Source organism: Homo sapiens, chromosome 1 (assembly GCF_000001405.40).
Source record: "Homo sapiens chromosome 1, GRCh38.p14 Primary Assembly".
Classification (NCBI taxonomy): Eukaryota; Metazoa; Chordata; class Mammalia; order Primates; family Hominidae; genus Homo; species Homo sapiens.
The window spans coordinates 184,713,672-184,727,634 of record NC_000001.11 but is presented as its reverse complement, the minus strand read 5'-3'; the positions used below and the strand labels follow the sequence as shown (position 1 = coordinate 184,727,634).

At 32.5% G+C, this 13,963-nt stretch overlaps 1 protein-coding gene across 5 annotated transcripts in view; it reads left to right on the top strand.

Moving 5' to 3' along the window:
- The window catches only part of EDEM3 (ER degradation enhancing alpha-mannosidase like protein 3), a 64,622-nt gene that overhangs the window by 27,224 nt on the left and 23,435 nt on the right, over positions 1-13,963 (top strand). For all 5 annotated transcript variants that reach the window (NR_135118.2, XM_011510012.2, NM_025191.4 and 2 more), the window contains 7 exons: positions 1,246-1,380; positions 3,779-3,884; positions 6,249-6,346; positions 8,067-8,192; positions 8,390-8,473; positions 10,012-10,095; positions 10,623-10,747. Coding sequence is in view for 4 of the 5 variants with exons in the window: in XM_011510012.2 (XP_011508314.1) it covers positions 1,246-1,380; positions 3,779-3,884; positions 6,249-6,346; positions 8,067-8,192; positions 8,390-8,473; positions 10,012-10,095; positions 10,623-10,747 (758 nt within the window). In the remaining variant the exon portion in view is untranslated. The remainder of the gene's footprint in view (positions 1-1,245; positions 1,381-3,778; positions 3,885-6,248; positions 6,347-8,066; positions 8,193-8,389; positions 8,474-10,011; positions 10,096-10,622; positions 10,748-13,963) is intronic.

Here is a 13,963-nt window from a genome sequence, read left to right as displayed (position 1 = left end):
TGTTGTTTTTTTGTTGTTGTTGAGGGGGTGTTTGTTTAGAAATGCCTGGAATCTGTTGATTGGACACTGTTAAGGCACTAGGTATACCTAGCAATTGATATCTGCAGATAAGTTGAAATATAAATTTTTTGAGCTTCTCTTTATATAGAGTTTGAATAATAACTGAACCAAGAGTATACCCGTGATGTTTTATGTGTTTTATGTTTGATTTTTTTTGTTTATTTGTTGGCTGAATCCTTGGCATATACCTCCTTTTTTGTTGGTTATTTGGATTGCTGAAAAATATTCTAATTTTAATCAGTGTCTGCTCAGTTTGAGTCTAGTTAATCCAGATTCATATTGTAATAGTAAAGGTCTTGCTCTGTCACACAGGCTGGAGTGCTGTGGCGCTATCTCAGCTCACTGCAACCTCCACCTCCCAAGTTCAAGAGATTCGTGCCTCAGCCTCCCAGGTAGCTGGGATTACAGGCACACGCAACCATGCCTGGCTGATTTTTGTATTTTTAGTAGAGATGGGGTTACGCCATGTTGGTGAGGCTGGTCTCAAACTTCTGGCCTCAAGTGATCCACTCGCCTTGGCCTCACAAAGTGCTGGGATTACAGGCATGAGCTACCGCTCGTGGCCTATTTGGTTGTCTTCCACTTAATAAAGAAATACACCTTTGAAAAAATTTCCCTTGTGTTGTTAGCCTGCCAGCAAGGTGATACACTCTATATTTCCAAACTCTTAAAACCCGTAAATGAAATTTTAATTTCCTTTCAAATGTATACCATAACAATCCGTTTTTTCTCTATGGTGAACTAGTTAATATATAATATAGACTGGTTTTTCACAAATTCTAAACTAACCCTAATTTCTTCTAAGGCTGGTCTACTTCCCTATTCTTGTACTTACTAGTTCAAACTGTCCAGAGAACAAAATTGTTATAAAAGATACCTTCTCTGTGTAATTTCCCTTGGATTATAATCATGTCACTTGTTTACTCCAAGGGAAGTAATTGAGTTTTGATGTCAATGAGGATGGAATGAAATAAAAGCTTACTTACTTCATGAATATTATATGCTTAGAATATATTTCCCTACATGCTAATTGGAAAGTCAGAGATCATCAGATTGAATTTCAGTGTTTAGTTATTTTATGAATTATTTTCATGATTTTATACAAAGACTTGATTGAAAAGTAGTTTCTTATCAGAAGGTCATTGTCTTGATAACTGCTAATGACAATTTTCTAATTGTATTCAGATTAATTTAAAGTTTGGCATCAGAAAACCAGAAGCTCGGACAGGAACTGAGACAGATACCTGTACAGCTTGTGCAGGTACCTTGATCCTTGAATTTGCTGCTTTAAGTCGATTCACAGGAGCAACAATATTTGAGGTTTGCTTTTTACGGTCTTTGATATCCTGGGTATTGGGCATAACTACCTTTATATCTTCTTCATTGGTTAAATATTAGGATTATTAGTTGGAGAATTACTGTTATTTTAGTGAACTTTTTGTCTAAATTCCTTTACATGGTTTTTAATTGTCAAAAACCTAGAACATTGTGAGAGAGCTATGTTAAATCCAACTTTGCATTTTGTTCACCAACTATGAAGTATATGTTTAGGTTTAGTCTTAGAAATTTTTTTAGCCATATTACTTAAATGAATTTGATGTCTCCTTGATATCATAAATGTCTTACGAAATACTATGTCCCTGTGTTTTATTTGTTAGACTTCCATATTGCACTTCTGAAAGTTCTGAAACCTTCACTAATCTTCTAAAACACAGTGAAATTTTTGTTCTTAAGTCTTGATTGAGACTGTAATCTGTAAATTTGTTTACTGCAAGGGAAATGTTATTCATTATCCAAAAGACTTAATATCCCCACATAGTTGTGGGCTAGCTATGTCTCTCATTAAAAAAATCTAATTATTTAAGCATGTCATTGGAGTGCAGTGGTAACACAAAGCACCCTCTTTTTCAAGCATATGACTTAGGTTAATGTTTAAAAATTCAACAAATGGCAAACAGAACAAGCAGAAATAGGGACTGTATAGTAGCATTACAGATACTAGATCTGAATGTAAAGAAAACAAATTGACTTTGTATGTATGTATGCCTTTGAATGTATGTCTGTATGTTCAAATGTCTCAAGGACAGATTTATCATGTTTGGTTGGTTAATCTTTTAAACTTAAGGTTTTGCTCTATATCTTGTTCACTAATATTTTCCCTTCATTAAAAAGTGTGGACACTTTTGCATACTTTAATAACTACACTCTCAGATATTGATGCAGTTACAGGTGAGGAAAATAAGGCTCAAAGAGTATGACAGACCTGCACAGCTGGTAGATGATGCATGGAGTTGGAATTAGAATCCATGTCTTTCTGAATTTGAAACCCATACTCTTTCCAGTGGGCTATTTTGTGTTTATTAATAAATCTGTTGAAAGTCATGATTTAAAAAAAAAAATTCTTGAATACGCAGTAATTTGTTGTCAGAGAAGATGCAGTTGACAAAGCATTGATATAATACAGGGTTGGCAAACTGCAGTCTGTGAGCAAAGTGCAGCCACTGCCTGTTTTTATAAATAAAGCTTTATTGGAACACAGCCATGCTCAATTGTTTGTTTTTATCTGTGCCTACTTTGGTGCTACAGTGACAGAGTTGAGTAATTGTGCCATTTACTGTGTGACCCATAGCGCTTAAAATACCTGGTTCTTGTCCGAAAAGGTTTGCTGACCCTTGGTCTAATATATATAAAGAGATCTGAATTCTCATATTATTTTTTTGTCCTGTAATTCAATTTTAAACTCTAGCTAATCTTGAATTTCACTAGGCCTGTTTTCTTAGCTGTAAAATAAGACTAGGGAAATCTTTTTGAAGTTTCCTGGCTCTGAAATTCTGCCATTTAATTAAAATTATAACCTGCTTTGTGTTTAAGAGAAATCAGCATAGTTTGAGTAAAGAATTATAACTATTTTACACTCTGTAATCTGCCAAGTGACAAATGGGTTTAATGACTTTTTCTTTTATAGAAGTCCTTCTGCAGTGCTAAATAGGTTCATGCTCTGAAATTAATTTAGAAACCTGCCTGTACTTGCCCTTTGCATTTATATTTTGTAACATCTTTTCATCCAAAGCCAAAAATTTGTTCACAACTCATTTTATTTAGTGTCTAGTAGATAAAATAAATGAGAAAAAGACAAACATGTCATAAGGTTACAAGTTTGTTGTTATCAAATATTTGGTAGCCTAATTGATTTAATAGCTTTTTACTAATGAACTTGCTTACCATTTAAAAAGTAGGATCTGAAATGACTTTCAAAGATAGCATACTACCTTTGAAATTCTCTTCCAGTTTTCTAAATAAGAGTATCTAGGGAGATTTTTACTTTGCCTTTAAGTGGTAGAAATTACTTTAACAAGTATATCAATTATGTAAGCAATTAATATAATTTAATAATACATGTGTGTGAATATGAACTTGTGCTACAAGAGTAGATGAAATGAAGAAAAAACAAAAAGAGTAGATGAAAGTGAGCCATCAAAGTGAGCCTTCCTCTGAATAGTGTATTCAGAGTCTTTCCTAACTACACTGATTGGTTGAAAAAGAGCCAAGCTTTGAGTTTTAAGGAAATTTGTTTATAAATAGTTATCTTAGAAATTTAACCTAATTCTTAAAATATCCTATCGGCCTTTGAGTTTTGTTTGTTAGTTTCCTATTTGCCAAAGAGACTTAGTTCTTCAAATATGCACTTCTTTTTTTTTTTTTTTTTTTTAAATTACAGGAATATGCCAGAAAAGCTCTTGATTTTCTCTGGGAAAAAAGACAGCGAAGTAGTAATTTAGTGGGCGTGACTATAAATATTCATACTGGAGATTGGGTACGAAAAGGTATGTAAGTTAGGCTTTTTAAATCAAGCCTTTGCATCCTCAAAATGGTTGGGAAATAAAGAATTTTCATTTGTTAAAATAATCTTTGGGATACTATAAAGCATAGGTTCTCACAAGATTGCTGGAATTTTAATTAATTTAGCCAGATTTTCTTTTTTGATGCCAAATGTGACACACTTCTTCTACATGATTTAGTATTCTATTTCTTAATGGATATAGCATTATAGGTATAGGGTGTAGATGAAACGCTATAATTTATTTGAAAACTAGAGAACCAGATTTCTGCAGCCATCTCACGTCAAGGTGTGGTTTAGTAAGAATATGGGTTTAATAAATTCTTTTTTTCTCCTACCTCCAGAAATATAGTAGCTAAGAGCATAGACTCTGGGGTCATGTTGTTGGATTCAAGCTATGTGATCTTGGGAAACTTATTTAACCTCTGTGTGCCTCTCTATTCCATATCTGTAAAGTGGGCATATTAATAGTAATTAGTTGTTCTGTATGAGGATTAAATGAGTTAACCAAAGTAAAGTGCTTAGAACAGTGCCGGGCATGTACTACACTTACTATGAAGTAAGTGCCCAGTAACGAGATGTTAGTCCTTTTGATTAATAATTTTACTTCTGGGAATCTAGTCTGAGGAATAATACAAAACATAGAAAATTATTTGTTCCCAAGATGTTCCCATGCAATTATTTATAAATAGCAGAAAATTGGGAAACAGTCTAACCATCAGTAAAAAAAGCTAAGAAAATTATTTTACATCAGCGTTGGAATATTGTTATTAAAATAAATCAGGAGCATGGGAAGGAACATGTAACAATGTTATATGAACAAACAGGATATTGAATTGTACAAAGAACTGTGATTTTATCTTTATAAAACACCCTGATAAGCATAGATGAATGGAAATAAATTAGAATATTCTTAATGAAAGCATCTTTTTTATACATTTTCTCTATTTCTAAAAAGCTTATCTTGTTTATATGTAAAATAAATGGTAACTGCCTATATTTAAATAAATAAAAATTATAAAATTATTAATTCAAACATATTAAAATTATTACCTTTATTCAGTATTGTATAAAATTTTTCTGTGTCATCTAAATGACAGAAAAGAACTTTTGACTCTTCACAGTCAGTTATTTCAGTAATTCAGGGTGATACTGAGGAAGCTAAGAAATGACTAGATTTACCAGAACATTTGAAACTCAAGACAATTTCTTCCAAGTTCCTAAAAGCAAAATATTGAATGGCCACTGATGAAAAGTCATCTTGTGTATTCATTCACTGTTTTCTAGTATTTCACTGCTTATAACTGTCTGGTCTCATCTTGGTTATAGTTTAAAAATCAAATATTTTCCTACATCTGTGAATTAAATAGTACAGTGTGGTTACCATATCATACTTCAGCTGTTAAATTAAATCCATTATGTCATAACACTAAAAAGACTCATTTAAAAATGAAGATTTAAAATAACATAATATGTTGATTTAAATGTACCACTAGAAAAATGTTGTGTCTTACAATAGAAATGAAATGTATATAAATATGGGTAAAAAGACGAGTCACTAGTTTGAGATGAGAACTATTATTTTCATGGTAACGTACCAGCATGTATGTGCTTGTATAGCATACACATAAACAGAGAAGGCTTAATGCATTTATAATGCAAATACAAATGCATTAAATAGAAGTTTGATAGTGTATTATAAACCTAAGAGGAAAAATCCAGACTTGTATTTTTGATATTTTGTGCATCAACATATTGCTACAAACATGAAAACTGTGAAATTTTTAAAATCATTTCCTTGCAGTCATAGCATTGTACCATCTTCATTTTTGTCTAGAGTTGGTTCAGTTCTAAGTGGTCTAGACTCCACCTGCCTATCATTTTTTTTTTACTGGTTAAGACAGTAAAATAGGTGTTTTTTTGAATCTATAGGTTTCATTTTTGTGTTAGATAACATTTCTTCTTTTTAAGAGTAGATATTATTATTGTTCTTTAATTTTTCTTGACTTTGGTTCTTTTTTCCTTTTTAGGAAAAAGCAAAACAAGAGACTTCATCTTTAGATTTCCTCAAGATTTAAGTGAATTTACTATTCATTTATACATACCAATTTCTTAAAGAACACAAGATGCTTATTTTCCACCTAGTGAAACTAAGAGCTAATTAAACTATGAACTAGTTAGCAAATTATTTATTTTAAATATAATTATCTGTTCCAGGGCAAATCTAAACTGGTGTAGTCATATATATGCACAATGTTAATTTAATGCTAATCTAAGGAGTGCTATTTTTTTAAAAAAATTTAACGGTTTTAAAAAAATTTAATGAAAAATCACATTTGTGTTTCCATAGATAGTGGAGTTGGAGCAGGGATTGATTCATATTATGAATATCTGTTGAAAGCCTATGTCTTGCTTGGAGATGACAGTTTTCTGGAAAGATTTAACACAGTAAGTTGATACAATTTTATATTTTATAATCAACTTCATTTGAGTCCAGATTTTTATAGAAACTCCATTACCTGAATGACATTGTAAAAATAATTTTTAAAATGTGTAGTGGTTTTGTGTCAGTATTTCCTGATGATGTTGAACAGGGACAGCGTAAAAAGTGATATACATTCCAAAAAATCAGTTGATAAAGTAGTTTTATTTTCACCTTTTATCAGAAACTTTGCAGATCTGCCAATAAGAGATGTAATAGATTTGAGTTTTACCTAATCTTGTTTGTACAAGGATAAGAATTATTGAAATATGTTACTAGTTAGCTTTTTCCTTTGTATTTCAATTCTTTTTGAAATCTTGGAAGTTTGGCTTAGTCTTTGATTACACCAAGGATACAGGGCTTTGAAGACCTGGAGAAACTAGTGAGTATTCATTTCAAAAGCAAGTCTTAAGACTGGTTCAGAACCACAAGCATGTTTTTTTGGGAAAAGTGGGAGGATTATTGAACCCAATTGAATCACCTTTTTAACTGAAGCAAACTGAAATGAATATAGCAAACTCATCAGTTATATCACTATATTCTTTTTAAACTAATCTACCATTTCCTTGCTCACCTATCAGTTCATCCATGTTGTATGTATGAGACAGTATGACATGGTGATTAAAAGTATGGAGGAGAATGGCGTGAACCCGGGAGGCGGAGCTTGCAGTGAGTCGAGATCGCGCCACTGCACTCCAGCCTGGGCGACAGAGCGAAACTCCGTCTCAAAAAAAAAAAAAAAAAAGTATGGGAGATGTACTGGTTTAAATTCTGATTGTACCACCTACGGGTTTTGTGACTTTGGGCAAGTAACTAATATTATTTGCCTCTGTTTCTCATCTACAGAATGGGAGTACTAGTACTATTTATAGGGTTATTGGGAGGATTGAGTTTATGCATTCAAAGTGATTAGAGCAGTGCCTTTAACCTATGGCCAATATTCAATAATAGTGATTAAATAATAGGTAAATTTGCAAAAAAAAAATTAGTAAAAGTTAATAAGTCATTAATTGAATACTTTCTAAAATTATCACATAGATTGTTTATTAGATTATAACAAGAATTTCTTGAGGTAAATGGGGACAAATAACTATTTTTGTTGGCTTGTTATCACAACTCAACCTTTTGTCAAAGCTGAGAAATATCTAGGAGAAGAAGACAAAAGAAGGGAAAAAGAGTTTTCTAAGACCATAATAAGCTGAGATAGCAAACCATAAGAGTGGCAGCAGTGATTAGCTGCATTAGTTTAGATAGTAGTGAGCACCAAAATATTGTTAGCCGAGAAGGGATCAAACTTCCAAGATACAGGAAAAAGCAAATTCTGTAATACAGAAGCTGATAGCTATATTACAAGGGGACCTATGAGCATCAGTGGGCCGCAAAGTCATACCAACCACGGGCTAACGCCACAGGGCATAGAGATGTTCAGTTCCATTTTTCTCAGAAGGTCCTATATTACAGATAGTCTTTAATAGTCTGCATGTGAGTTAGAGGACATAAAGGAGTACATATATATTTTAGAAAGATCTCCATCTAAAATAACTTAAATATTTATATAAATTGGTAGTTATTTAGTGAATTTATATATAAATTCTAGTTTAATTTATTCACAGTGCTATTTAATGTGTTTAGAGTAGTACCTCTTTTTTCATCTAACTTTCATGAACACATGTTGTGATCTTTTAGCACTATGATGCCATAATGAGGTATATTAGCCAGCCACCTCTTCTACTTGATGTGCATATCCACAAACCAATGCTGAATGCTCGGACTTGGATGGATGCTTTGCTTGCCTTCTTCCCAGGCTTGCAGGTATAAAGAATTCTGTCTTCTTAATATGAATGTAAGATGATGATGTTAATTAGGCGCATTTTTGATCTTTAAAACTGAACTACAAAACATAGTTGCAGTTCAGAATTGTATTTGTATACATTTTTCTGTTTATGTAATGATTAGAGATAAAATCAGCTCATATTTTATTAGGTAATTTTATTGTTGTTGATTTCTAGGTGTTAAAGGGGGATATTAGACCTGCTATTGAAACTCATGAAATGTTATATCAGGTGATTAAAAAACACAATTTTCTACCAGAGGTAAGCAAATAATTTTTGGAATAATCTTACACACACACAAACACACACACACACACACGTACACATATACACTATAAGTTGCTAATATAAAGGTAGAAAATGTCATCTTCAAGGCTTGTTGGTTCTTTTTATTTTTTTCCTATTAAATAGTTTATTTTTGGTTTGTACAGTATTATATATGTTTTTGCTTTTCTTTGTGTGTTAAGAGAAGTCTGATTTAGGGTAATGCTGACATTTTTAAAATTTTATGTAAAAAAATTCCCAGCTTAGTTCTTCTCAACTCTTCCTAACTTATGCCATTGTAATATTCTCTCATTCTAACTCTTGTATGTACCTACCAGCTAGGGAGATTTTGTCACTTTTTATTTTCTAAAGCTTGTCTTATGAAAACAGTATATATTAGATATACTTTTGTTGTTCACACATGCCCTCTGGAAATGTATAGAATGCCATCTCTTCCTCATGCTGATTGAGAATTATTCTTCCTGATTTTTATACATCATATTAGTAATAAATATTCTTGCTAGCTTAATATGACAAGATTTTAATAGCATACTTTTTGGCTTCCCAGAAATGTACCGTTAAAAATTTCCAAATGTGTGTATGGCCTTGTTCTATCCCCGCTTATTGACTACCCTCTGTGAGATATCTAAGCATTCTACCAACTTAGAAGGGTTCCTAAAGTGTTTGTTTTGGAAAGTATAGTTTTATTAGCCTTCGGGTGAGTAGGACTGTGCATTGTAGAAAATTCATATCCATACAGAATAAACTGAGGTTTCAATTAATACATCTATCACAAATGAAATTTTTATTTAGCTCCCATAAAAGTTTTTGTTTGCTTTTATTTTTATTTTCTTTTAAAAACCAATTGATTATGTTATTGAATAAATTTCAAATAGACTAATTTTATTTATTTCTAAATAATGCTCTGTCTTATTCCACAAAGGATTTGAGGCTTTTAGAAAATATAAGCTAAAATATGAAATATGTATGCTTACACATTGCTAAGAGAGATTTTAAGTATTCTCACCACAAAAAAAGAGAACTATGTGAGATAATGCATATGTTAATTAGCTTGATTTAGCCATTTCATAGTGTATAAATATATCAAAACATCATGTCATATACCATAAATATATGTCACTTTTATTTGTCGATTTAAAAAATTTAAAAATAAATATGAGAACTAGGAGAGTAATAATCCAGAGGAAAAAGTAGAGGGAAGGATAAAAAGAAAACACAATTATGTTTACCACCAGGACCCATGTAGTGGCATTGCTGAGTTTCATTATGGAGTTTTTCTGAGTTTTCTAATAGCCAGAATGATCACTGAAAAAATAATCAATTTAATTGGTAAAAATAGCAGCCTTTGCAAAATGAATTGTTATTTTAAGCAATGAAAATTGATGTTTTATTGATGAAAATGTCCTGATTGCTATTTTAATTGCTTTTACCTATTTATATATATTCTATATATTCTGGAACTACTTGTGTATTTAATCACATTTTTTATGCCTTTTGTATGTTGTTTTGTTCAGGCATTTACCACAGATTTCAGAGTACACTGGGCTCAACATCCTTTAAGGCCAGAATTTGCAGAAAGTACCTACTTCTTATATAAAGTAAGAAAATATACCCCATTTTACTTAAAGTTTAGCCTCCATTCTCTGTTGGATCTCTCATTCTTTCATAATAGTAATTGGGTTTTCAGAGTCCCCTTTTAATATTATAATGATTGGATATATCATGATTCTTATTCATCTAGTCCATAGAATTATTGAATGATGCAAGAATTGACATGCAAGGTTTTTTTCTTTAAAAAATATTATGTAAACATTTCTTTAAAGAGAAATTTTATGTTCTAGAGCTGCTTTCTAAAGCATGTCTCTTGCCTTTCTTCAGGCAGCCTTTCTGAGCATTAGAAATTTAAAAACTAAGGTTATATAGTTAAATTTTATAATTGTGTATTTAAGAAATTCTGTAAAGCAGATTCATAGCTTTTTTTCAGAACTCAGTTCTATATAATGTCCTTCAGTGCCTGATACAGTGCCTGGCACCTAGTAGGTACTCAATAAATATTTGGTAAATGAATGGATATGTGGTAATATATAAGCTATATATATTATACATATATTCTCCTTTTTAATAGGCTACAGGAGATCCTTACTACCTTGAAGTAGGGAAGACACTTATTGAAAATTTAAATAAATATGCTAGAGTGCCTTGCGGATTTGCTGCCATGAAGGATGTTCGTACTGGAAGTCATGAGGACAGGTAAAACAATTGCTAACATCCTCTTTCCTCAGGGTCTCTCTGAAACAACACAAAATGCAGCTACCATTTAGGATTCAAATAAGTTTAATTCTTTTACAAAGGATAGAAACCTTTGTTCCTTGTGTTTACTTTTTTAAACTCTGTTGAATACACTAATTTTAATTTGTTTGAAAAGTTTGTATTTTTATCATAGTGCCTGGCATATAGTAGGTGCTCAAATGATTTTTAAATAAATGAATCGATGATTGTTAAATATCAGAACCTTGGTGTTAGGACTATCTAAAATGTGGCTTTTTTTCTTCTTTGATAATAGTTTCCTTTTATATTACATAAGACATTAGAAATTACCAAGATGAGGAATGATCTGGAATGTGATTTGTGTTCGGCCAAGAATTCCTCAAAAGCTGTGTGTACTTACACCGTTGCTGACTTGCAGGAGTGGGAAAGACCAGTGGTAGTTTCTGTTTCATTAGACACTGGATAGATGTAGATGGTATGAAGTATTCAAGCTATAAAAAGTGCTCCACATGAAATTCACAAGCATTCTCCTTATTCTAAGATCACTTATCTGGTTATCACATCTCTAAATGAATGCTGAAGCTTATTTGTTCATTTGGTTAGCAAATGTTCATTCCAGAAATATTTACTGAGGCCCCTTATGTGCCAGGGCTCTTACTAGTTTTTGAGGATTAAAGATATGAAGATAAGTCCTTTCTGTCTTTGAATCACTGAAGGCAGGCCAATAAGCAGACTTTTAAAACATTGTATATGTGTTTGAAACATATTAAAGGGGCATGAAGCACAAGTTGGGATGTGATAGTCAGCGAAGGGTTCCTGAAGGCTCCTATGTCCTGAAGGATAACCAAGAATTAGAAGAAGAAAGATGTAAAAGAAGTTCCAGGCAGTGAGACTGAAGACATGAGAAACACAGCACTCATCATCTACCCATAGAGTTGTCCCTTAGTTCTTCACTTAGTGTTCGGATAATGGTTAATTAGGCTTCGAATCTCCATCCCTAACCACAGCTAATGAGAAATGGTTAGGTTCTGGAAGCAGGCATACAAGTAATAGCAAGAAATAAAAGCAGATACCTTGTGTATTTATTTGCCTGTAACATTTATTGACTGTTTCCTATACTCCAGACAGTCTTCTAAGCATTTTATGTGTTTAACTAATTTGATCCTTACAACAGCTTTCTGAAGTGTACTATTACAGTCTTCATTTTAAAGGTGAAGAAACCAAGGGAAAGAGAAGTTAGGGAACTTGCCTAAGGTCACACAGTTAGTAAGATTAAGTCAGAATTCTAATCTAGGCAGATTGGCTCTTGACAATGATGTTATACTGGCAATTCATTAAAGAACAATAATTAAACACCTACTGTATGCCAGCCACTGCACTTAAGTGTGGGGTAGAAAGATAAAATAGAACCAGTCCCTGCACTCCCATGACTTGTAGTTAGTGAATAAGATAGGTGTGTAAAGAAATAATCACAACCATGTGATATGTTCTAAAATACAAAAGAGGTAACAAGTTGAAGAATTGCAGAGGAAGACATGATTTACTGTTCAGAATTCTATTTTTCAAAGTGTAACATCCTTCTTTTTTTCCCCACCAAATACTCCTTTTATGACATTGTTTCTGGACCTCTTACCACTGACATTGCCCCATTCTGATTGCATTCCAGTATATATAATAACTCTTAAAATATCACATCCAGAATTAACCATACTCAAGATGTGTCTGGCACACAGCACCATAACTGTCTGTATTCAGGCAAAGGGTCACTAATGTTCTATGAGGCTGATGAGTTTCCACCCTCTATCCAGTTGAGGACCACTGCTTCATTGACTCACTGTTCCTGAGGGGATTGTTGTGCCTCTCAGATGTCTTTAGCCAAATGAAAGGTTAAGAACTACCATTCTTCATCATATTGTGTTATTAGATGTGCTTTAGATTTTTTAGGAGCTTTATTATGTTCAGCTCACAGTGAGCTTGTGATCAACTAGTTTCACATACTTAACTGTATGGTCTGCTGACAAATGAGTGTTCTCCACCCTGCCTTTGAGCAGCCAAGTTTTCTTTTTTTTAGTGTAAACTTAGAACTTTTATATTTAACTCAGCAAAATTTCTTTTTTTGTTTTGTTTCTAGATTTTGGTCTAGAGGTTGAATCTCATTAGCTAAACTACCAGTTTTCAATGATCTATAGTTTAGATGAGCATACCTTACATTTTTTTCATCCAAACTGTTAGGAAGAAGTTTTGGTTGGACCCCAACCAGTGCCTTGTGGCACTGCACTCAAGAGCTTTCAGTTACAGGCTCTTTGCATGTGGTGGTTTATTACCCTATAGATCTAAGCACTATCACTGTCCTCCAGGTTACCATCATCTACACAGACACAGACATACACACACACTTTTCACAATGGAAATATCTGTATTTTCCTAATCATAATTACTGAAAAGAATGTAAATGGCAAAAATAATAGGAAAATATTTGCTAAGACACTGTCCCCTAACTGCGTAAGATTACCACTGTTAGCAATTTTATAAAGGCTTCCAGACATTTTTAATGCCTGTGTATTTTTATTTATGTATTTTTATGATTTTAAAATATAAAATAGATCATATGATCTGATGTTCAACTTGCTAGCTTTGCCCAATTCATATTGTAGTTATCTTACCATGCCTTGTTCTTTTCTAAATGTTTACAAATTGTCTATTCTAGTATTTGCCAATTATCAGTATCCTGCTCATCTGTCTGCAGTTCTCAAGATAGCATTTGCTCATGTAATAACTGTCAGTCCATCAGAAAAGGTTGAATTATGATAAGTGTATTGCAGATAAACAGGAAAGTGTTTTTATATTGTCTAAAAAGATTAATATCCAAAATGGCTAAACATGTTTTGAAACATTTCAGGTGAGTTTTTGTTCCAAAATAAAAAATCATGTGTATGTAGGAAAAATGATAGCTGTAGTTTCAATCTCATATGTATGCCAAGTGCTATGCTAAATAATTGACATTTAATATCTCAGTCTTCACACCAATGTCATGAGTGTATTGTTATATTCCTTTTACAGAAGAATAAACTGAAGCTCATAGTCCTTATATAATATCCCCATGGTGACAGAACTAATTAGTGGAAGATCTTTCTATTTCCAAAGCCCATGTTCTTTACTTCTTTGTTCTACTCCCTCTCCAGCTCATTCTTTAATCAC